General features: G+C 38.9%; 1 protein-coding gene across 18 annotated transcripts in view; it reads right to left on the bottom strand.

Moving 5' to 3' along the window:
- The window catches only part of ST3GAL6 (ST3 beta-galactoside alpha-2,3-sialyltransferase 6), a 63591-nt gene that overhangs the window by 13675 nt on the left and 23550 nt on the right, over positions 1-26366 (bottom strand). For 3 of the 18 annotated variants that reach the window (NM_001323352.2, NM_006100.4, NM_001323365.2), the window contains exons 2-6: positions 25638-25809; positions 13649-13748; positions 11222-11299; positions 9262-9365; positions 8195-8258 (exon numbers count right to left, since the gene is read on the bottom strand). In NM_001323352.2, the coding sequence (NP_001310281.1) occupies positions 8195-8258; positions 9262-9365; positions 11222-11299; positions 13649-13737 (335 nt within the window). In that variant the 5' untranslated portion in view covers positions 13738-13748; positions 25638-25809. Of the gene's footprint in view, positions 1-8194; positions 8259-9261; positions 9366-10987; positions 11058-11221; positions 11300-13648; positions 13749-18738; positions 18839-25637; positions 25810-26366 lie in introns of those variants that run through there. The other 15 variants (NM_001323358.2, NM_001271142.2, NM_001271147.2 and 12 more) reach the window with 9 other exon arrangements.

Below are 26366 nucleotides of genomic sequence, written 5' to 3'. Positions count from 1 at the left end.
GCTTTTACAAGCAAGTTTGATTTCAATCCCTATTCTAGAAAGCCAACTTTATCAAAGGCTCTCTGCTGTGGGGCCATGTAGTATGGCTGAGATGGGAGCTGCTGAATATTCAAAACCCTTTCCTCTCAGGGTATTATTGCCATTATCCTCCCCAAATCATCCCATGAATATGCTATAGGAGGGGGCGATTCTCACACTCCCAGCTTGCTTGCCCTTTCCATAACCTCAGGGTCAGTTTAATTCAGATCAGAGGCTACACCTCCTAAAGCTGGCTCCATCTCCACTAGGAATGTTAAGCAAGGCTGGGCACTGGGGAAGGCATGGCTAAGACAAGATTGAAATAACAGCTGTTCCCATGAGATAACCTGCATAGGGGTAGAGGGGGAATATCTATAGATGGTATCTAGTCTAATCCTCTCCATTCAATGAAGGCTGTAGGCCAATCCTCTGTCAAGAAAAGGGGCTGCCTCGCCCTGAGCCCAGGTGCCTCAGGGGCTCCTGCATCCATCCTGGCCTGGAGTTCCCAGTCTGACACTGGGCTACCTGACTCCACCTACATGGAACATGCAGGGGCAAAGGCCAACAAGCCACCAGCATACCACCAGAGCCCCTGTCCTCTACAAAAGACTCCTGAACAACAAGCCAAATATCTGAAGTTGACCCCAGAAAGGTTACTCAGCTCAGTCTATTTTTTTTTTTTTTTATACTTTAAGTTCTGGGATACATGTGCAGAACGTGCAGGTTTGTTACATAAGTATACAAGTGCCGTGGTGGTTTGCTGCACCCATCAACACATCATCTACATTAGGTATTTCTCCTAATGCTATCCCTCCCCTAGCCCCCAACCCTGCGACAGGCCCCAGTGTGTGATGTTCCCCTTCCTGTGTCCACGTGTTCTCATTGTTCACCTCCCACTTATGAGTGAGAACATGCAGTGTTTGGTTTTCTGTTCCTGTGTTAGTTTGCTGAGAATGATAGTTTCCAGCTTCATCCATGTCCCTGCAAAGGACATGAACTCATTCTTTTTTATGGCTGCATAGTATTCCATGGTGTCTATGTGTCACATTTTCTTTATTCAATCTATCATTGATGGGCATTTGGGTTGGTTCCAAGTCTTTGCTATTGTGAACAGTGCTGCAATAAACATACATGTGCATGTAGTATAAAGTCTATATAGTATAATGTCTATATAGTATAATGATTTATAATCTTTTGGGTATATACCCAGTAATGGGATTGACTGAGCTCAGTCTTAGACGTGGTCAGTTATATAACATTGCTCAACAATGAACTGATAGCTTAGACCTTAGTGTTCACAGAAGTTTCCACTCTATCACACTGAGTTACAGATGGTCATCAAGCCCTAGATAATGCGTGGCCCAAAGAGTATCATGGTAAGAGTAGCTACCATCTGTCATATACATGTGCCATTATCACTGGTCATCACTCAGACTCAAGGTCCTGGACCTCCACCCACATACCCTATAAGCCAAGAAAAAAGAGGGGTCTAGGGTTTCAGGCAGATCTCTTCTGCAGGGCAATTCCTCATACTCAGCCTCTCCTACTTATGGTCCCAGCAGTTCAAGGACTTTTAAAAAACAGGAAGAAATAACATAGACATTGCCTCATTTAGAACGCCCATTCCAAAGATTCTTTGCAGCTCTACGTCACCATATTTTTAGGAGTTTCATTCTACTTTTTTTTCCTGTCAGCTTATAGGGGACAAACAGAAAGAGAGAAGGGCCTTTACTATAGGAAATCATGCCAATGCTTTTGAAAGGAAACCTTATCAATGAAAGTCCACTTTTCCTCCTGGTAAAGGATATTGCAAAGATTTACGCATTTTTCTGAAAATCACATAGAAACTCTTTTGAGGGCATCCCTAGGACTACTCTTTGGCAATAACACTTTATCTACAGCTAGTATTCATAGTACCACCATGGCTCTGGGAAGTATGGAATGGTACAGATAAGCTGTCTGAATCGCACTCCTCGTTACTCATTGCTTCCCTCACTCTCTAGCAAGTACCCCATACTCTGAAAGGACTGATTCATTCTCTCCTTGACTTCATCCATTTGGCTTGTGATTCTGGCTTCCTCTGCCTTTTTATGTGTGGAACAATGACTTTCAGTGTCCTTTGGGTGACTGTAAAACTTCACATATTTAATTAACATAACTTTCATGTAGAAATAGCTGCAGTAAATTGTGAGTCCCTAGAGGAAAGAATAGTATCATTTATATCTCTGTATCCTCCCATCTACAACACTTCCTGATTCACAGGCTGTGCATTTTAGAATTCAGTTTGGTTGTTACATTAAGTATATGGAGGTTATTTCCCTACTTTGTGTTTGGAGAAGGAATTACTTTTTACTCCTCCAACCACCCTGGAAACACGGAGGAAAATGCGTATGCTCTAAACTGCTTACCCAGAAAACAAAATAATTGTTTTGGAACCTGTTAATGGAAATCTGGAAAGCTGCTAAAGCAGTGGTAGTAAGAGATTACACTTCCCCCAGGTGAAAGCTGTGTTTCTCATAAAGTCAGGCAAAAGCTGGAAGAGTCATTACCTTATGCAGAGGGAAACATTAAACACAATCAATATAGAGCAAGCAAACTTGAGTTGCCCATTTCAAATGATCTATGATGTGTTTTATTTTACAAATGCTTTTTGACATGCATTTTCCCTTCAATACCATCATGTACATTAAAATACATGACTCTACCTTCAGTGTAACAATCTATGGCAAATCATACCACTCACATTCCCAACACCCATTACCCCATGTGCCTTGCTAGCAGATCCCTGCTTTCCTAAGCCTATAATAGTGAGCTCATTGTCTCTGCCAATGTTTCATCTAGACATAGCCATGTGACCCATCCCTGGGCAATAAGATATTAGGGAAGTCTATTAGATGCTTTTGGAAGAGATTTTGCTGCTGCCAAAAGAATCATGTGAACAGGATACTTCATTACTCACTTCTTCCTTTCTGCTTAGACATTGACACGTGATAACAAAAAGTTAGAGCAGCTACACATCAGAGAAAAAGACAGCCACAGAAAAACTACCCTGGAGCCTTGACATCACTGAGCCACTAACTCAATCCCCCAACCAGGGCCACTCCAAACATATGTGCAAGTTGTACACAGTCCAATGTCCGGGAGCACCATTCAGATAACTATATGAATGAATCGGTACTCCCTGGAGTTGTGCAATCCACAGTCTGTACAGCCATAAGCAGCCCCACACTGCAAGCTGGAACCACAAATATGCAGACCTGAATCCACATGTCTACGCAATACAGGAGATAATAAATGTCCACGTAGTTTAAATCACTCCTAGTGAAGACTATTACTTGCAGCCAGGAGATCCTCAAACTACACAAGGAACTGTAGTTGGAGACCTGGTTGCTAGTTCTGGCTCCTCCGCTTAGCACCTCTTAGGACCTTGGTGTAGTAATCTGACCTCTCTGATCTCGGTTTGCTCTTTTGTGAAGTAAGGGAATCACTTAGGTCTTGTATGTTACTCTCTGATGGAAGAGACCATTTCCTTTGGCAAAAGTACTGAGACTTCTATACCTTTACCCAACATCTGACCACAGCCGATGCTAGAAAGCAGGCAGGGGCTGCTTCTGCATATTCACCACAAATGATTCACTCTGTTGATGTAGAATCGCAACTTCCCCTCATCCTCAAGCTCTCCTTGCTAAAAATCCTGCAATGTAAAGAAACTCTGCAAAACAGCAGAATGTCTAAAGTAGGGAGGCAGATATTGATATTCCGTTTAGAGTTAGGACTCTTTTTCAATAAATACACCACTAATGTCTAATTCTTTTTTAAGTTTTCTAAAGACATGCTCCTGGCCTGGCTGGTAGTCAATCTAACCCAGCTTTGCTGATGCTGACATAATGGATGCTGCTTGAGAGAGCAACCAGGCAGCTTTTACAAATCCTTGTCCATTTAGCAGGCAACTGACTTGACACAGGTGCTTTAGTCAGGTAAGATATTTATGTCTAGTTACTATATAACCACCTGTGCTGCAGGACTAAAGCATTCTTCATAAAACTTGGCATGCTTTCAGAAGGAATGTTGGTGGTTGGGGATGGGGAGCTTGTCTGTGCATTTTAAGTGGGAGCTGAGATTTGATCATTTAGGGTTGCTGCTGTTTCTAGCTGTGTGAGGATGTACTTCCACTGAGGAGAAAGCAATAATCCTTAGGACTAGGGGGCAGACTGGTGCTGAGGAGCTACATGGACAGCCAGGAAGGATTAGGGCCTTGGAATATGGCCATATTTTTAGTATTCCTTTTCTGTGATGCAATTCTCTTAAAAAATCCTCAGTCTTCAGTGAAGTTTGTTAAACTTAGTCACCTTATGTTGGCTGTGCTTTGGAGAATAAAGAGAAGAGCCTGTGTCCATGAGAAATCAGTAGCAGCAGCAGATAAAAAAGATGCACTGAACTCAGTTGTTAGAGAGCAGAGTCAGATATTTGACTTCAGAATCCTGAAAGTGACCAGGCATAAAAACAGATGGGGACCAGGGAAATGATGCAGAATATTGGTAAAGACAGCTATTTGTTCCCCAATAATCTTGTTTCCTTCATCTGTTAAAATCATGTTTGCTTTTAAAGGTGAGCACACAGTCACCTGGAATACAAACTACATTTTCCGGTCCACATTCCAGCTAGGGGTGGCCTTGTGATGGAGTCCTATCCAATGGGATGCAAACAGTGGTTGCTAGTCAATGTTTAACAATCAGTTCTGGGGGAGGGGGAGGAGTATGAATGGGCAAAGCCCTGATTTGTAATGTTTGCCAATTCCCATGGTACGAATACTCTCACCTTGGCCATTTCAAGCTTTCACCTTGATGGCACTAAATATGGAGCTGAATACAAAGAGATACAGCTCTCACAAGTTGGTACCAACTGGTTCCAGCACATCATTGGAGGTAAGGAAGTGTTATATGGGATTTCTGGGAGATGCCCTTAAGAAGAAGGCATGTCTTAAAGGGTTGGGGTATGCCCTTCGCCCTTTCCTCCTCCTGGCTGGCAGGGAGGTAGGCGTGATCGGTGGAACTCCAGCCATCATACCAGACCAGAAGGAACAAGTTGTATATTTAGGAATGGTGGCGTCAAGATAGAGAAGCAGCCTTGGTCCCTGATGCTCACAGAACCAGCCCTGGCAAGTTTACCTGCAGAGTTCATTTACATGAAAACTGGACAAATGGAGAACTTCCTTCTTACAATCACAACTGATATTTTGAGTTTTCCCATTCACAGTGGAATCTATCCCAACTGAGGGCATCATACATGCTGGACGAGATATCTGACAAAACTACAACTTATATCTGGTAGAATCTTAAAGGATTCAGATTTGAAACAACAGCACCAACAACATCTGACCCTTTCTAGAAGGGACAAAGAGGATGGAAGGAGAATAAAAAGCAAGGAAAATAATGTGCTTAGCTGTTATAACTCAAACTACGTCGAGCACCTTCTAGAGCACAGGTAGGAAAAAATGAGCAGAGAGCAAGGCCAGCAATTATATAAATATCAGTAAAGAAAGCAGAAAAAGGAGGAAAGTAACTTGAAAGTAATCCCTTCTACCTCAGCTCCTCCTCTCTGACCTACAGACCCATGATGAAGGACAAGCCAGCCTAAATATCAATACCTTCCTCCTTGGACGTGTGGGCCCAGCTCACAAATTCACAAGCCAGGGGCTCAGGGAGGACTCTCCTGCCAAAGGCAGTCTAAATTCTCTGCCTGAGAAAGAAAGACTGTTCTCAGACATCTTTCTTCTAGAGCTTTATTCCCAGGCTGAGAAGAGAAATGAGAACTACATAAGGTCACTTGAGGAACTAAGTTGACTCAGAGGCAGCATTCAGGCAATTCAGTCCATTCTGCCTTTCTGGAGTTTACTAAAAATGTATTGCTCAGGCACAGCCTGGTTGGTTTTTTCCTATGTGTTGTACATTGGGCACATGATAAAGGTAGAATGACTCACTTAAAATATAGGCAAAATTTAATACTACATGTGAACCCCTCTGAAAAGTGCTATGCAAATAGAAGATAATAGTGTCATAAATATATTCTTATCTATTTTTGAAATACTCGATAAGGTTTGCCCAGGTCGAACACACAACTCAGCAATGCTAACTGAACATCTGTGATGTTACAAAACATGTGTCACTGTGCTCCCTCTGTGGGGATCCTACAGGGTTATTTGCCATTCATTCTTTATCTAGAGTCTCTGACTATACATTTACTTCACTTCAGACTCTTGGCAACTTCAGACTAAAGGACTCCTGCAGTCAGCATGATTTTCAATCCCTCCTCACCAGCTACACTCTACTTCTCTCCCAAGAAAGGTAATGCTAAGAAATGAACTTAGCATGATGGTGGGGAGTGGGGAGATTCTGGTGACAGGAGGAAAGGGGCAGGAAACAGCAAGACCAAGGCAGCAAGAAGAGAAAAATTAGCCTGATGGAGGCATACACAAACAGATGAACACCTGTGGGACAAGGGGTTATGAAAGCAACTAAATAAAGCACAGTCTAGTTCTTAGATAAAAATTAGTCAAGAACAAAACTTCTAGTCATATAGCCTCCAGAATCCTGACAGTAGCTTGCATGTATGGAGTCAAGCATCTTTACAAATATTTGCAGATAATTGCTGCAAGGACTCACAATTATCTTTTTTTTTTTTTTTTGAGACGAAGTCTTGCTCTGTCGCCCAAGCTGGAGTACAGTGGTGGATCTCGGCTCACTGCAACCTCCGCCTCCCTGGTTCAAGCAATTCTCCTGCCTCAGCCTCCCAAGTAGCTGGGACTACAGGCATGCGCCATCATGCCAGGCTAATTTTTGTATTTTTAGTAGAGACTGGGTTTCACTATGTTGGCCAGGCTGGTCTCGAACTCCGACCTCACGATCTGCCCGCCTCAGCTTCCCAAAGTGCTGGGGGATTGCAGGCATCAGCCACAGCACCCGGCCACCTTTATTACTCTTAACTCAGACATCCAGGCACTGGAGTTGAACTATCTAGGTTCACATCCTGGGTCTGGCATTTACCAAGTGTAACAAACTGTGTGCCTAGCCTCAGTTTCTCCAGAAACTTACAGAATTAGAGAGAATCAACATAAAGCACATATGTGAAAGGTCTGCAAAAAACAATATTCTACAAATCAGAGCTACATAAATTTGGGGGTTGAAAAAATTTATGGTTGCTATTGATATGCAATCAAAATTAAAATTGATTAGGTTGATGGCATAGTTTGAAGTTATAAAAAACTGAAATGAACCAATACACATTACACAAATACACACTTCACGTCAAGCATCTTGGTCTCCAACAGAGAAAAATGAGATAAACCTGGACAAAATCTAACGCTGCTCTTATGGCAAACTCTGTCTACACTTTCAGACCTCTATCCACTACCCTCACTCTCTGCACCCAAAAAATAGCACTCCTATTCTCTTGGGCAAGAGGGTAAGTTCTGCCATTTTCCTTTTTAATGGAGGCCTTACATCTGTAGACTACCCATATTATCACACTGGCACCCTGGCCAAATTCTAAAGTGTGGCTTGAAACTTTGTGAAATAAACCTACCTCTGTAAAATAAGCCCAACAGTGAAGAAGTCTATTTTTGGCAATTCAATTTATATGGGGTTATTTAATGACAAAATTGTCTAAAAACTAAATTACTTTTGTAGTCAGAAAACATCAAAGCAAGTATATTTGTCCTTCAAATGTAATTCTGATTAAAAAAGAAGAGAGCTGCTTCCAAAATCTAATAATCTCCTTAACAAGTGAGACAGAAAGAATCTCATCAGTAGTTTGGAGGATGCATGGAAAAGTATGGGAAACAGCCTATAAAGGGAAGCCATGAGCTGATTAGCAGGGGGTGAACTAATTCTTAAGTAGGAACAACTTAGAAAAAAATGAATGTAGGTTAAAAATGTCCTGATTTGGGACCAGTGTTGATCATCATCAAGATTCTGCAAACTTTTGAGCCAACCAGTTATGCAGCGTCTAAATTAATTTTATAGGTATTTAAGTGTCAAATTACTACTAGAAATTTTGGTTATGCACAAACGCTATGAAATTTTCCTGAGTAAATACATCTTACATTTCTTGGGGTACATATTTTGAACCAGCTTAGCTGAAGCTAAAAGCCAGACTAGAAGCAAGGAAATAAACTCACTTGTCAAACTCATCAAAGAGATCACAACTCTGCAGTTTTGAAAGAGCAAGTCGAAAATATTCCGCTAGAAAACAAATGGAGTGTTATGAATAAAAGGATAATCATGTCTTTTTAGTACTTAGTAAACCACCTTACTCCCTCCCACACAAACCCATTTCCAACCAGCATGGCCACATTGATTTATTCTGTGAAAAATTAATGATACAACTGCAATTAGCCAGCACTACTTCAGCAGGCCCATTCAAAATCGTAAATGCTCTAAAGACACTTTCCAAAACCTCCCCAAAAAACAACACATTTAATCTGAAAAACAATCATATAATTTTAAAATAGCACGATTCTGAAATTGATGTTAGAATAGAAATAGTAAGTTTAACCCAATTAAATTCTCAAATTCTCTGCAAAATAGTTTTAAAATAAAAAATAAAACAAAAAAATACAACCCCCACCCTCACAGGATCAGTTGAATAAGCAAAATATGACTCACAATGTTGAAGGCTTGTCACCTTGGGCTTTTATGATCCCTCAAAAATCTAGAACTTAATGCTATATAGGGCCAATCACTTATCAACAAGCAGAAGGGAAAGTGTTTTATCATTAGAAGATGGAATAATTATCTCTAAACTTAACAAAAATAAAATATCCACTGGTTAAATTAAAAGACTGCTTAAGGAGATAAGAATCGCTGATGAGATAAAACTCACAGGTAAAAAGAAGCCATGGGAAGCTAGGAAGGAAGCTAACCCTCAGGTTTTCCTGCTAATTCTAAATTAGAATAAAGTAAGGCACCAGAACTTACATGGATCACATGGCGGCAGAGCAAATGTAAAAAGTAGTTTCTCAACAACAACAAATCTACCCCTGTTATCCTTTGGTTCTATACTGCCTCAAAAGGAGTGATAATTTATATTTTAAAATGTAATTCATTTCATTCCATCCCAAAATCATATCCATTGGAAATCATTAGGAAGCAGAAAGAATAAAAGCCCTTAAAATTATATTAACATGCCATTCTCATCAAACACCACTCAAATTTAACAGAACCAGGTAAGAATACTACTACTGACCTGATGTTCTCATCCCATAGGGCAAATCAAACTTATCGCTACCATACAAGGAAGCAATCTTTCTAAAATCAGCCGCACACAGAAAAGGGTGAAACTGATGAAACCTGGAAGGAAAGGATAAAGAATGATTTTGCCAAATACCTACTATATTTGCAAGCTTTTAAAATCAAAACTAAAAGTAACTACAGCATATAATCCATATCATTATACTGGCTATACAAAAATGTATAATTTTTTTTAATTTTTAAAAATAACTTTAAACCGTGCTGAAATATTGCATAGAATGGGGTACTTAATGGAACTACACAACTGAAATGAAAACACTTTGCAGCCACTAAGATGAAAATTATGTTACAACTCAGGAAGTAAAAACAAAACTTAAAAACAAACGAAGAGCAAGTGATAAAATAATAGCCATATATAGGAAAAAACAAAGTAATATTATAAAAGTGCTGATGCTAAGCTATTTCTAAATTTAAAAGTACCATATATGTGAAGTTGTATCAGCTATGACAAGTCTGGGGTCACTATCCCATAAATGACAGCTGAAATCCACACCCAAGCCTAATTATAAGGGAAGATGTTCTCTTTATAACACTGAAGATAAAAGCTCCAGGTTTCCCAGAAGAGCTTCTCCAAATTGCTGCTGGCTTTTCTGTTTCTGAGAAAGTGGCCTCAAGTACACTCTAGGGGACTGCCCTCAGAGAATACTGTCCACATGATAAACATAAATCTACCTGTCGCTTACACTGTAGACTTACATATTGCTGAATAATCTTGCATAAATACTTTAACCCTTTTGGGTTTTCTCAGAAAGGAAAGGATATCTTTTTTCACTAAAGTTATGGAGTACCTTAATTCTAGAGTAGCATTTTAACCTGTGGTCTGCAACCCGTATGTGGCTCAGAAAATCAATTTTGTGAGTCACGATCGGCATCTTTTTAAAAAGTGAATGGAACAGAACACAGTACATCTGGAGTAGTAAAGGTAAAAATTCTTTTTTTTTCTTATTATATAAATATGTGTTTGCACTAGATCCCAAGTAAAATGTATTTCTTCCTGAGTCATGTTCAAAAAAGTTTAAAACACTATTCCAGTTTTGCAGTGGTCCTCACTGGACGCACACCCCTGGAAAGGCTACAGGCAGCCATAGCAAACTTGGAATCATATACGAAAAAGTCTTATGTATTTGCAGTTTTCCAGAGAGTTGATTGATTGTAAAGGGATCTGTAGCCCCAAAGAGTTAAAAAACAGTAATAACAAGGTGCAGTAATAAAAGACAATAGGAAAAAAAATGAATTTTTAATGCTTCATAGAAAAAATGCTGAACAGATTGTGCCTGTTTTACCCAATTAAACATGCCTTGAACAGATTTTTATTTCTTGTTATCTAGAGCATTTTGACCAGCAATCTGTCAAAGTCAAAGTGATGGAGGAAAAGAACATATGTGAATAGAAGAGTAAATTCTTTACAAAGCCCAAGAGCCACAATCAACAATCATTGACATTTTATGTAGATTAATCATTATTTGCATTCTATGTAGTTCATTAAAAGTTAATAAAAGGGAAAATTTCTACTCAAAAAGTTTAACCTAGAGGCAAGGAAGGAGAAGCCACAAATTAATAAGGGTGGAAAATAACATGAGAGCAACAAGGGGGAAAAATAAAACCCTAAAGAACAATTCGCTTTTTTATAATCAAACACAAATAGACCTCTCTAGCCTCACCTGTGTGAAAAGAATACTGGTTTGATTGAGTTCCTCAATGCCTTTTCTTAAAATATATGCAGAGCTCTGACTAAAAGCACAAAAAGAGACAGGATATTCAAGCTCTTCCTTAAATATGGGGTGTCCACTTTATACTGCTAAGATTTGCATTAAAAAAATAAACAAGTGTGGAAAATGATTACAAGCACATTTAGAATATTTTGTATGCCACAGGTTTTTCTGGTATATTTTTACCTCAGCAGAGAGGCAAAAGCTGGCTTTGATAAACAAGGCTGGATCTTATTTCTCCGTTTCATTTCCACAGGTGCCACCCTATGAGACAAAAATAATGTCAGTCAGAAACCAGAATCGGGCACCCTGCCCAAAGGGAAGCAAATGCCCTGGGAACTCATTCATGCCACCACTGAGAGGTTCTGTGGCAGCAAACAAAAATACTCCCTGCACCTCTTGAGGTCTGCCAGTACCTTCTCCAAGCCCTACACACACCTGAGATTCATGGATGTAAGGAAAGGGAGGGTGGAAAAGCTGAGGTGATGAGCAACCCAGAAGTGATTCCAAGAGCAATGATTCAAAGGACCTTCAGAGAAGGGCCAGGATTACTGCATTGTAGAAGCTGCAACCAGGCTCACTTTTTAGAAGTCCCTGAAAGCTGGAGAAACCGAAACTCACCCCAAGGGCACGTGGCTATTTACCTCCTCCTGCCACATCTGCTGACGCACACCGGCAGCGAACACCACAGAAACACCTGACCTGAACAGGTTCCATAGACCCTTGCCTTGGGATCCGGGGGACTCTACAAATCACACTATTGAGAGTCATTTCTAACTCTTCTCTATTCTTGGCATAAGTTAGGCCCTTGTGTGCTCCTGAATGGAGTACTTGTCTCCACAATTTAAAAGGGTATTGTGAAACATGACAGAGCACAACAAGGAAAATAAATGAAAGGGGTGGTGGATGGCAGGATCCAGACTTAGCTGGGAAAGAGGAAAACAGCTTAATACAAAAACTTATTAATGATCATCAGTTATGTGAAGAATTCATATTTAAAAACTAATCAATTTTCTTCTATAATCAGCAGAATTCAAAATGAAGGAAATACCCTAAACCCTTCATGGACAGACACAATTTTCCATTTTTGTGGGTACAAAATCCCCATAGTTAGAATTGCTAGGTTTCTGAACTGTGAGGCTAGTAAACTCCTTACGCAGGAAAACATCTTTTGTGAATACCACAATGGCAAGGACTCCTTGATTTATACATAAGGAAGATACATAAATATGGTGGACCAGCACACTAGACCAAAAAATCTCAATTATATTTGGAGGATAACATGAAGATATTATTTGATTTCTAAAGTCATTAAAACATAGAAAACAGTTTTAGGATATTGTGAAGACAACCTTTGGGTGACTTTTTAAAAGAAAAACACAATTATATGTCTTAAATCATTTTTAAGGAAGCAAGTTCATTGCACAAACAACTGTCTGAGCTAATATCCCAAGGTACTTGCTGTGACTATAGTAATGTGTTAGCTGAGGAGTGACATGGTCACTTCAACCCTGATGACAAAAGACTGCTGATTTAGATCCTTTTCATCACCTTCTTTATCATTTTCCCTGTGACCAACAATAGGATTTGTAGGAAAGTAGCAATCTAGTAAGCTTTTTGCTTTCTCTTCTATTTTTGTCTTCTACTACTAAGGGTAGGACAGAGAATGTGGCAAAGATGTAGGGATAGATCCCCTTGATGTAGTCCTCATTTAGTACATAATCAGACTTCAAAATTCTCTAGCCCGATATTTGGGTCCAAAGCCTAAAACTTTAGGGCCAAAACTATCCACCTGGCATTGGGTTTTTTCCAGTGGCCATTTGCCTAACGTCCTTCCATGAAAAGCATTACAATTATTTTTCAATCAACCAGTAATGAAATCAAATGCAGAAGCATCAGCTTTTTTTCATCAAGTAAGCACAAGTTAGAAACATGATCTAAGATGTACTATGAAACACTGGCAAAAAATACTGACTCTTTGTCTAAGACAGGAAGTTATGTGATTTATTTTAGCATAATTATGTACTGCCACCCGCTTGGGATTTAAAGGTCATCAAAACTTTTTTCCTAGCCAAAGGACTGACAATGAGAAGGTTAAAATCCCTATTACAGAGGCTTTCTCTTCAGTAAAACTATCTGTGCCTCTTCAAAGTTTTATATGTGGTATTTCAAGTCAAAGCTATTTCAGAAGATACATATATCATCGTTCACCAAATATATTTAAACAAAGGAAACCATATGTAATATCTGTATTTTATCAATAATCTCTTAAGCAAGCATTTTAGGTTCCAAAAGTACCACTGAGCCCAGTAATTACGCCATTAACTCAAGGAGATGATCTATAGCATAAAGAAAGAATGTTATAACCCAAAGATGGTTAACACCATGGCTTCCCTGGGAAGTCAATAGAAAGTAGGTGTTGCTTGTCAACTTTTAAATTGTTCGAGATACAATCTATAGGATACTGGAATGGTAAAACCCCAATTTACAATGGAAAGCAAGAAAATATTCAAAATGGTACAAGTTTTTTTCATAGGACCCTCTACTATAATTTGTGGATTTGTGTGAAAGACTAGGTTGAGAGTTATTTTTAAATAACAAAATGAAACTTACCAATAGACATTCGTTCCCCATAATATGCAATGCAGTACATAATAGAGGAAGACAGCACTCAGGAATATGGCCACAAGATACCCTCTCATGGCTGGCTCACCTGAAACACAAGGAATGAAGTCCAAAGCAAAGGCCAGGTTGTTATACAAATGGATTTTCACAATGGCTCAAATATAAGCATTATTGGAAAAAATATACAAAAGGAACTATAGAAAAAAATGATGTGGGCATGTAATTTTGGAAATACTCACTAAACGTGCAGAAAGATAATGTTTTTTCTGTCTCTCCTTTTATCAATAAGCACAACATAATGTATGTTTAGGCCAATAAACAGTTCCACGGTCTCAAAGGTAGGGGCCTCCCCCTACTACTTTCTCATGGTAGGTAAGAAAGAAATAATTCCTTCAGAATAAAATTTTACACATCTATTCCATATCCAAAACTTTTTTCACAAACATTAAAACCTATCTATTTTCTCTCTCAGTAGAAAGTGAATAGATGCCTTAAACTGTGAATATTTCATTTCTTCAGTGCTTGAAATGATGTTAAAATGTTATACATTATAATTTTTACAAGTCATTTTCTAATTTTTAACTGAGGAAAAAAGCTACTGAAAAAACATTTCCCTCATCCTCAATTTTTATATACTTTTAGATCCACCTATTTGATTTTTCCACATCACAGTTCAGGTATATTCAGCTACTTGCTTGTTTTGTATTAAATTGACAATATTATTCATTACACATTTGCAGACAGACAAAAACCTTGACACAATCCTCTCTAAAATGTAAATGCAAAAAAAGCCTTTATAGAATATATTTTAAAAACCTATAAAACATGTTTGGTTTTCTCTTTTGCTTCAAAGGAAAAAAGGAAAAGTTTCCATTGTCTTATGTAATTAAATGTAAAAGACAAATTTAACATATGGTTCCATAATAGACCTATTTCAACGCCTGTGACTTTAAACAGGTACACTGCTTCTCTGTCTCCCTTATCAAGTTTCTAGTTCGTCTAAACAACTGCATGTGCCACTCCTTTCACTCCTATCCATGCCTATTAACCTCAATCATGGCGATGCAGTATAGAACCTGGGAGTCTGGTTGAATAAATTTCCAAATAATATGGCATTGCCTTCTTTTTAATGGTAAATATGTTCAAATGGAAATCTTAAAATAAACCACTCCCTTTGCCTTCATAAGTAGAATATACTAAACATAATTTAAACTTTTCTTGATAATATGGGGTCAGCTCAACAAATATAATTGTTCTGGGCTTTCTTACAGTTGAAACCCTCTGCAGCTAATGGGTGTGTGGGGCTATTTGCTAAGCAGTCCTAAACTGGCATGATTATCTGGTTGAGTTGCTTTTCACTCCTCCCTTGCTGTCAGCTGTTGGTTCTTGCTGCTATTAATGCAGTCACCACCCCCACATGCCACTATTCTAAATTAGTTAGAAATGAAAACTATGTCAGGAGAAAGCAAATAAATAAGCAAGTTAATGAGCAAACTTTAGTTCACACATACTTCTAATTAGGTATACATAATCCCTGTGAAGAGTCAACACTGGTTGGAAATCAGAAGACAAGATTCACAGCCTAACTCTACATATGGTGTGGGGACCCTAAGGTAAATCAGTCTACCTCTTCTGACCTGAGGGTCCTCATGTGTTTACAAGTGAGAACACACCATCTACCTCTTTGGGTTATTAGATGGTCCTGGAAGGCAGTTTACCATGGGCCAAAATAGTGAGGAACATCTTATTAAATGCTCAAATCAAACATTTAAGGCTCCACTAAGAATAACTTCATTTGGCTGGGCGCAGTGGCTCATGCCTGTAATCCCAGCACTTTGGGAGGCTGAGGCAGGTGGATCACGAGGTCAGGAGTTCAATACCAACCTGGCCAAGATGGTGAAACACCGTCTCTACTAAAAATGCAAAAAAATTAGCCGGGCGTGATGGCAGGCACCTGCAATCCCACCCATTCAGGAGGCTAAGGCAGAGAATTGCTTGAACCCAAGAGGCAGAGGTTGCAGTGAGCCGAGATCACGCCACTGCACTCCAGCCTGGGCGACAGAGTGAGACTCCCTTTCCCAAAAAAAAAAAAAAAAAAAAAAAAAAAAAAAAGAATGACATTTATGCAAAGATCCAACAAGGATAAAACTTACCAGTATCAGCAAAATTTTTTAATGTATTTACATCTAAGACAGTATATGAAGGTCTAGGGAAAGAAGTCAGTATTTACAAGTCAAAATTCCTATGTATTCTCCAAAACATACTCTTTGGGCAATTTATGTATTATTCTACAGAACACGGAGGTATGGGTAAGCGAGACTTGTGTTATTGTTTTGTTGTTTTTCATTCACTAATATGTGGTCTAATTAAAAACAAAGAAGTGTGAGAGAATGCTCTGTTTTCAAACAATAAAACGAACCCACTCTTGAACAGCTACTGCACACGCCACCTGAAAAACATTTAGGAAGTTAAGGCACTATCGTATTTCATGTACAATTCACAGCTTCAGTATTCAAGTTGCAAAGGACACGGGCCAGCCAGGATATCCTTGTGATAAACATGGTTCCTCTGCTTGCTCACAGGAAAAAGCTTCCACAAATAAACCAATTATCTAATTATATTGTATAAGTGGAAGGGCATTTTGCTTTGAGCAAAAACATTCAAAGAAAAAAACAGAATTTAAGAGGTTATCTGCTTTTAAAAAGACATAAGGCCCTTTAATATAGCTTTGATTACCAAAAAAAAGAGTTTTCAAGATCTTGACATTAAACAGGACCAATGCCAGCTTTGTGGCTGCAGATGCTCCTAAAATCAGGGTCCCTAAAACATCCTTTACAAAAATGTGGGTAGAGGATGGCAAGGGAAAGAAGGACTCACTGGCAGAGGACAAATGTTCACATATTCTCCAACTAAGATATGTAACCCAATGTATAAGTAACCTATATATGCCAAATTAAACTCAATCTTGACAAATGTTTCACTTTGCTTTAATAGTAAAAGCATATTTTGTGTGGAGCATCAAAGTTCATAAAAAATCTTTTATATGTCCATCCCTCCATTTAAGGCTCAAAATAAGCTTGTTAGATGGGTGTGCAGGTGTTGTCTTCTTGATGAATGAGGAAAACTGAAGGTTTATAAGGTTGAGTTGTCTGAGGTCACACAGTTTAAGGAAGACAGAAATAGATTTATGGTTCAATCATTTCTTTCTCAGAGTTCCATTCCTGGTGTTATCCTGTCTCTCAAGATAAAAAGCACAAGGCAAATCTAAAAGAGATAATTCTAATCTGAAAATTCCTAATGGTGTTCCATTGGTATCTTGAAGTCTAGAAGGGTAAATTCAGATATTGGTGAAAGGAGGTGACTCTAGGGCAGGCTCAAGAGTCTGCACCAGGCGGGGACTTGTTAACATGCACACTCCTGAGCCTCTACTTAATCTGAATCTCTGGGGCTCAGGAATGTGCATTTAAACAGCATCCACCAATTTGATTCTTATGCACACTAAAATTTTGAGAATCACTGCTCTAAGAAATACAATAGAACCATGGAAGAATTTCTGAAATACAGAGACTGTAACAGATACAGATCCCATAACTAGATGCTTTGTATTATTTTTTTTTACCCTAAATGCCTAGCACGTGGTAAATGCTCAATGAATAACAACTGATTAGAAGCATTAAGATGTATGAGTGCTTAGCCTGTGCCAAGGCATGTGATAATTGCTTTTGGTGTATTACCTCATGACATCCTGACAACCACCTTGCAAAAGAAGTGGTAGACTTACAATTCCTATTTTGTAGAGGAGGAAACCAAAACTCTGGGAGAAGCAACGACTTTGTTGAGCTGACAAGTAGCAGAACGAGGACTCAAATCTGTCTCTATCAGGCCACAGGCCATGCGTTATACTACCTCCCCCTAGATGTGAGCTTTCACAAGTGAGCACAGGCCCCTCCTTTTGCTACCAGACTAAACATTACTGAACATTTCTCCAACTTAAGCAATCCTGCAAGCTCCTTAAGCAATATCAATTCTAGTAATTGATGAAATGGAGGTAAAGCTTATAATACTTTTGATTCAAACTCAGCTGAAATAAAAGCCTGTTACTCCCAACCCTGTTCCCAGTTCTGCTCCTCCCAACCATGCTAGCATTGTTTATAAAAACAAACTCTACGGAGAAACACTTGAAAAAAATGTCAGGTTTTTTTTTAGACTCCCCTAATGCTTTCTCAAACCAAAGGGAGCTTGCTTTTCCAACCAGCTAGAAAAAAGCATGTTCAGCAATAATTCTAGAAACATTGTTCTACTTATCAAGCATTAGGTTAGTGCAAAAGTAATTGTGGTTTTTGTCATTTAAAACCAACCTAATAGAAAAACCCGGTGGGTATCTCAGTCAATATGCAACACCAAGGAAGAAAGACCCTTGGCGTTCTCTATTCCGGATGCTGAGCACACACAAACCTCACCTCCCTGTCTCCTCCATCCCCAGTTCTGTTTCAGTCTGGAAGCAGGTGCTTCCTAATGCCCATCTGCAAGCCCAGCCACCCCAGGCACTGGGACTGATTCTGACCCACAGAAAGAGAGTCTGAGGAGCCCTCGACTAGCAGCTTAACAGTTGGGTCAGGTTCCTGTGGATCCAGTAGTGATCCTGGTCATCTCATCCACTGGACCTGGGTTCCTGCTGCTGGGTGCTTAAACTATACCACACTTTTCCAACGTCTGCATTCTTCTCTTTCCTAGTCACCCTAGCAGCTCTGCAGCCAAACTTCCATTTTTTTTTTTTTTTTTTTAGTCACTAGGATCCTAAACCATGTCCCCATCTGCCCTGGGGTGAGGCACCCTTCTGTTCCCTGCTTCCTCAGTGGCAGACATACTACTCTTTCTACTACTAGGTCTCTTCTCAAACCCAACATGCTGCTGTTCAATAATACTCCTCAGTAACTCACATCTTTGTGCAAATAAGAGAAGCACATCCCCCTTCTACCTCCACACAGCCTGTGGGCACCTAATGTCTAATATCTCAGCAGCATCTAGATTTAAGCCACAACCTTCCCCTTAAGCAGGTAACCTTGTTCATGGCTCACCTCCATACCTTTACCAGGTGGCCCTGCTGACACCTGTGTCCATTCAGCCCCTGGACAGGCCGTCATCCATCCTAGTCTCTGCTGGTCTTCAGCTCACACTGACATACACTCCAGACTGTGTGGAACATGGCCAACAGATTTCACATCCTGCCTTCCTTCCTCTTTGTACTTATTACTCAATTTGTGATTATAATCTGCAGTCACATGCCTACATGAGCAAATCTACAACAGAACCTCCAACTCTAGCCATGCATTAATGTCTAGATTTTTTTTGGTCCAGCCTCATAGGTCCCCTAAGCCTAAGCCTCACAGACCCAGCCATCTCCATATGACCTGAGCCTTAATGTACAGGACTCCACAGTGATGAATGGAAAGGCCTCAGTCCTCCTCAATTCATTTACTACCTCTCTTTTAGGTTTGGTCCTTATTACTAATTAGGTAGTCCAAATGCGTGAGATCAGCTTCATTCATATCCCAAGGATCTACAACCTCTGGCAGCGATGATCATGTAAATGATAGCACAGTTTATTAACCACTTACTAAATGGCCAGCACAGTACTAAGCCCTTTTTCACATAAGGATGAAATCACGGATATTTTCATCCCCATGCTAGATATGTTTAATACCCAGAGCACTGGCCAGAATTCAAACTGAGATCTGATTTCAAAGCCCACACTTTGAAATTGTGGCTTATAGAAAACTATAATAACCATATTTTTAAGAGTATGAACTGTTAAATAATCATTTAATAATATCTTTTAAAAATAAAACAAGGGGATGATACACATTAAATTATGCATTTATCAAACACACTTCTTTAGAAACATTATAATATGAAAAGCTATTAATCTCATAATTAAAGAGAGAAATCCTAAGGAATCAGTAGTCTGGTTGATGGGATTTTCTGCTAGAAGGATGACGAAATTCTCAATAGACCATAATTAAAGAAATAAAAAACAGCACATATAGATTTTTTAAACATACAATATTACAACGAAAAGGCTAAATTTAATCTGAAGTTATAAACTAATGCTATTTAATACAAGTTAAGAAAAAAACTCTGACATTGCTGAGTAAATTAACAGAAAATCTGATTTATGCCCCCCTCCAAAAATATTGAGTTGTGTAGTGTCAACAAATTAGATCAGCTGTATACATTTTGACTGATTTCTAAGAATATAACTATTTTCTTTCTGCATTGCAGAAAGGGAACACGTATAATTAACTTTCTTTCCCTCTCCTCCCCCAACTCTTCTGCTAATACAATGATATGAAGCTGGTTCCGACATGCATATGCACAAACACCCTTCTCTTTCAGCTTTTCAACAAAGCCAGTGCTTTCACCAGTGCTTTCACTGTCCTTAGCACATGTAGACAGATCTTTTCACTTAATTAAAGATAAGCCTTCTGCCAAAGCAGATGACCAGATCCTCTCCTGAAAGTGGGGTGTGCTCACTGCAAAGAATATAAAAAGGAGAGAAATGACTTCTCAGCAGAATTTTCTTCTTTAATAGCACAACAGGACACACTAAAATCATTCAGCTAATAGCAACTATATGGGATGCTAAAAATAGAAGAACTGGAGTTCCTGTTTTCAAGAGCTCTCTCTTCAGACTCAGGTCCATTGCAAGTACACAAGTAAGCTTTTAGGGAACTTCTTTTGTTCCTACTGTTTATTCACATTTTCTTTCCATGCCCATTTATTCTCTTAAAGTAAAAATTGTCCCTGTATTCTCTTATTAACATCCTGCTAATAAGATATCAGCTTCCAAGAAGCATTAGATGTTGTTAACAGGTTGATGACTGTGGCTACTTTTTTTTTTTTTTTTTGAGATGGAGTCTTGCTCTGTTGCCCAGGCTGAAGTGTAGTGATGCAATCTTGGCTCACTGCAACCTCCACCACCCGGGTTCAAGCAATTTCTCCTGCTTCAGCCTCCCAAGTAGCTGGGACTATAGGCACGTGCCACCATGCCTGGCTAATTCTTTGTATTTTTAATAGAGATGGGGTTTTGCCATGTTGGCCAGGCTGGTCTCGAACTCCTAACCTCAAGTGATCCACCCACCTCGGCCTCCCAAAGTGCTGGGATTACAGGCATCAGCCACCATGCCCAGCCTGTGTGTAATTTTTAAAATTGCCTTTATTCATTTTTTTCCTTTTTTTGAGACAGGGTCTCACTATACTGTCCAGCCTGGTCTCTAACTTCTGGGCTCAAGTAATCCTCCTGCCTCAGCCTCCTGAGTAGCTGGGGATAAAATTTTTATACACTAAAATTCGCCACTTTTAAGTGTATCAGGTAACAACCACTGAAGTCATGATTCTAAACATTGTCATCAACCTCAAAAGTTCCTTTGTTCCTCTTTGTAGTCACTTCCTTCTTCCCACTTCCTGGCCCCTAGCAGCCTGATCTGCTATCACTATAGTTTTGCTTTTCTAAAATTTCATATAAATTGAATCATATAATATATATCTTATTTCTGACTTCTGTCAATTAACATAATACTTTTTAAAAAAATGCTCAAGTTGTTGCTTGTACCAGGAGTTCATTCCTTTTTGTTGCTAAATAGCATCCCATTGTATGGTCATACCACAATTAATTTATCAGTTCACAAGTTATTTATCAGGCAATACACATTTGGTTTCTTTGCAATTTTTGGTTATTGTAAATAAAACTGCATTAAACATTCAAGTGCAACTTCTTGGGTGGATATACGTTTTCATGGGCCATATGGTAAACACGTTTAACTTTATATGAAAACTTTATATTGCATTGTGGTGCCTATCTCAGTTATATTGCATGCTGGTGCTTATCTCAGTTTAAAAAAAAGCCCTACCTATACCAGTTCAAATTATTACTGCTATTGAATAATACAAATCACTGACCGAGGTAAGAATCTCTTATCTATTAATATCAAGAATTTCATAATGTGTACGTACTCGACTTTAGGATATGGAGAATAGAGCTCACAGTCTGGTGAAGGAGCTGTTACACTGTTTCAAAATTATTTCCATTATCTGCTACGAGAATTAAAGCAAACTATTTTACACCTCTGTTATTCAAAGTGTGGTCCATGGACCAGCAGTACTGGCATCACCTGGGAAGTTGGTAGAGCTGCAGAGTCTCAGCTCCAACCTTTGATCCACTGAGTCAAGTGGATTTTGGCAAACCCCATGTGATCTGTGTGTTTGAGAAGCACTGCTGGAGAAGGTCAGAGAAAAAAGGAATTGTATCCAGCCGAGAAGATCAGGGCTTCACAGAAAACAGTTTTTGAGGGGAACTGGCAGCTCATTCTAAGTTTTATGCTACATCTTTTAAGAGTCTTTAGGGCTTGACCTTTGAAAGTTTTCAATCAACAGAAGTTTCTCTGAAGAAACTAGTCAGATTCCCTTTGAAAATAAGTGGCTTTGAGAAAAATTTCCCTCACCACTCTAGGGAATGTTTGTGGGGTTTTTTGTTTTTTGTTTTTTGTTTTTAATTCCCTGGACACTGTCTTTCCTGTATTATTTTCAGTCTCATCCTTCCATCTACTATTAGTGTCAGTATGATACTACCAGTATTTTTGAGGGAAAATATGTAGGATTCCTCCATTCACATTACAGCTATAGGACACACACCTTATCTTGCATCTCCTTCTGATTCACCTAAGTGCCAACTGAATCATTGGCCACATATTTACAACATTTCCAATTATTGCAATTTACAACTTGAACCCAAGAATTACAGATCTTAGAGCTGGGAAGACCGCAAGAGTTGGGGGCATTTAGACACAGTGAGGACTTACGTATCATACTACAGAAGAGGCAGCCAGGATTTTGAAAAGTTTAAAAAAAAAAAACTTGTCAAAGGCTATCTTGCTAATAAGTAGCAAAGTTGGTAATAAAGAAGAACATTTTACACGGGTTCCCCTCCAGCACAATTCCTGTCACATTATGGGTGCACAATAATATTTACTTATTTCATGAGTAAAAAAGTCAATAAATGAATAAATAAATTACTATCTCCAAACCCACTCGTCTTTGTTTTTGTTCCAATCCTCTCTGATCTCTACGGTTTTCAGTTCCAGAATCTCCCCTTGGGTAGCACTACACGGCCTCCCTCCTCTACTTCTCTGCCTGTGTTTCTAGATTTCCTCTTCTTCCTCTGTCCACCTAAATACAGGTGTTTTCAAGCTGTTATCTTAATCCTGTTTCCTAAACCCATGTTCTCATTACTTCTCACCTTAGCTACTAGCAATGATCTCTAATCTTTCTTCCCTTTAAACCAGCCCACACGCTGTACTTGGCATAAAATCCTCGAAGTGCAGCTCTCATCTTGTCACTTTGCCTGGTATTTAAGACTTCCATGATTTGGTCTTAATAATTCATTGGCAATTTATTCTTTGTAGGTAGTAGCATAATTAGGTGTTAAGATTGTTTGCTTGACAATCAGACCCCCTGAGTTTGAGTCTCAGCTCTTCTTCTGATGAGTTGTATCACCCTGGGAATTTGCCTAATCTTTTTACACTTCAGCTTCCTTGGCTGTAAAATAAGAAATAATAATACTTCCTAATAGAGCTATTACAAGTAGTAAATATAAAATACTTAGGTAAGTAACTGGCACATGGTAAAGACTCTCCTAATCTTGTTTCAATTCTTCTTTTAAAATTAGTGAAGTATCAGCTTCCCATGCACCAAGCCCTCCCTAAAAACTTAGCTTCCTAATGTCCTGGTAGAGATGCTAAAGAACTCATGACTTTGTGCTAATAACAGCCTCGAAAAATTAAGTTTCCATTACTGTGCTATTATTGCTGCACAATCATTTTAACATCTTAAAGTATCTGTGACAGGAAGCTTTACTCATCTGCTTTTGAATATAAAGTGAAAGGCATTCAAAATAGTATTAATTCACTGGCAAAACTCATCTTAGAATTAGACCCTATTTCTGGCTATAGAAACCATATCTTTTTTATGCTTTTCATAATAAAACTGCTCTGAAATTTAGTAAAAACAAACAAAAAACTCAGATTTGTAAACAACATTTCAAATTTATGTTTTGAAGCAAGCAAATAAAAATCAAGAACTCTATAAACAATCTGAGTTGGCAAATAGGTTTCATGAAATAGGTTTCATTCTCATTTGGATCCATTATAATGTTGAGAAGGATTCAGATATTGTGTCCTAGGTGTTGAAGCAAATACCATGGTGACTCTAGCAATGTTTAACAAGGTAAGGATAAAGACTGGAATTTTTCTCACCCTAGGCTAGAGAATAAGGACAGAAGAATAAACACTGTATGACAGGTGCCAATAAAAAGTTAAAATTAGGACCGGGCACGGTGGCTCAAGCCTGTAATCCCAGCACTTTGGGAGGCCAAGGCAGGTGGGTCACTAGAGGTCAGGAGCTCGAGACCAGCCTGGCCAACATATAGTGAAACCCCGCTCTACTAAATAATACAAAAATTAGCTAGACGTGGTGGTGCACGCCTGTAGTCCCAAGCTACTTGGGAAGCTGAGGCAGGAGAATTGCTTGAACCCGGGAGGCAGAGGTTGCAGTGAGCCAAAATCGTGCCACTGCACTCCAGCCTGGGCAACAGAGCAAGACTCCGTCTCAAAAAAAAAAAAGAAAAAAAAGCAGTTAAAATTAACTAAACGCTTATGTGATAGAACAGTTTTAAATGCTTTAGACATAGACTTATTTTAATCCTCAAAACCAACCTTTACGAAAGGCTTTATCGTCATCCCTATCATACAGATAAAGACACCAAAGCACAGAGAAGTTATAACTTCCCCCGGGATACCCAAATCAAAAGTGACAGAGCTGGGACTTGAACCCAAGCACGTACTAGAGTCCAGGAGCATCACAAAGACTCTCAAAATACTTCCATCTTTTTGATGCCAGAAATGGTAAAGATTGACAAGAAAAACAGCTTTACAAATCACCAAGATGATTACAGTCCAGATTCCACTAAATTGAGGTGTTGCTGGCAGTAAAACCTGAGGATCCAGCCCTACCTCCAGCCTTGATTCAGGTCCTCAAGAGTTCTGCAAGTCCAGTGGCTAAGGACCACGCTGGGGAAGGACTTTGAAACCCTCATGAGCAATCTCAATAGGAACAAGCAAGAGCTTAAGAGGTTCCCTAGGACTAAATCACAAGACCATTATGAGTGTCCATATTGGCCAGCACTACTAAAGCATAATGTTATCAGTCAATAAGTGTCTTTCCCAAAAAGATCTCCAAACAAATTTGCTAGAATAATCATTCTCTGATGAACCTTAATAAATCATTGAGTGCCTGCATATATTCATGGGTAAAACATGTAGTTCATTCCTGGTAGACATCTGAACTCTAGATCTTTTTTCAGAATAAAGTTATACATTGATGTCTGAAATCTGTGCATAGGATTCCAAAAAAAGTAAGAAAAATCAGCCTAAAAAATTAGAAGGTACTTTAATGAAACTATCATTAATTGTTGCACTTAAAGACAGAGAACTGGAATTAATTCTATTGAGAAAACAAGGCCCAAAGAGGGAAACCCTCTTGCCCAATATAAAGCTGGTTAACAGTAGAATTTCTATAATATTTGTGATGCATATAATGTTCTAATTTTAAGAGTTTTCTTACTCCTCACTTATGTATTGGTTAAGAAGAGTCCCAAAGAAGGCCCATTCAACTGAGAATAAAAATAATATTTAAGACTCTCATAGCTCAACTGTGGGATATGCTGAAGGGTCATGGGTTACATTAGCAGTCTTATAGGCCCCCAGGCTGCAAAACTAGTAAGAGAAAAAAATAGCAGGCACCTGTATTCATAGAAGAGGGGATTTTAACATCACCCACAAGAGAAGCATTGTATAAGAACATTACAAGTGCTCAAGTTTACATTTAAGCAATTTGAGACAATGGTGGTGTTGCCTTTGCTTACCTGCACTTTTAAGAATCTGTGTCCTAAAGACCCTCTGTTCGCAAAGGTGGAGAATTTGCGAAAGAGGGACCAGGCTGCCAAAGACTCAGGACGCTGCCTGCTGAATTGCTGGGGCCTCTCTGTTAGAAATTATCTAAAACCCAGGGTTGTGCTGCTTCCTCACTTGCAAATGCTGAAATAAAACATAAAGATAGTATGTTTCTAAGAATGGTTCAGCTGCCCCAGAAAAATGTAAAGTCATTTTTAAAACTTTAAGGAAAACGCCATTTTAGTAAACTCACTTCTGATCTCCTAAAAAATGTTTTCCAGGATGATGAAATTACCAAACACAAAAACAAAACAAAAAATCCAACAGTACATATTACATTATTGCCTGCCTTTCAGAACTGGCTTTCCAAAGGACCCAGCTCAGTCTCCTTAAAAATAATAACATACCCAGCTCAATTAATCCCAAGTAACCTGGTAATGAAAGAACCATCTGTCTTCTTTTCCAGCTTCTCTCCACACATACACGCAGCTTTATTTTGAAATGCAGAGGTGAGGTGAGAGAAGTATCTATTTCTCTGAAAATCATTAGAAGAGGAAGGGACAGAAGGAGAGAGGAGAATGAGGAGGAGATCAAGAAGAATAAAAATATCTAGAAGAAAGTGAGGGAAAAAGAAGTGTGGGTGAAGTATTAGAACAACTAGTTTAAAAATGTGCCGTGGGCTACTTTCTAAAAAAAAAAAA

The sequence above is a fragment of the Homo sapiens genome, chromosome 3 (assembly GCF_000001405.40).
Source record: "Homo sapiens chromosome 3, GRCh38.p14 Primary Assembly".
Taxonomy (NCBI): Eukaryota; Metazoa; Chordata; class Mammalia; order Primates; family Hominidae; genus Homo; species Homo sapiens.
The sequence above is the reverse complement of the archived record's forward strand: the minus strand, read 5'-3'. Positions and strand labels throughout refer to the sequence as shown.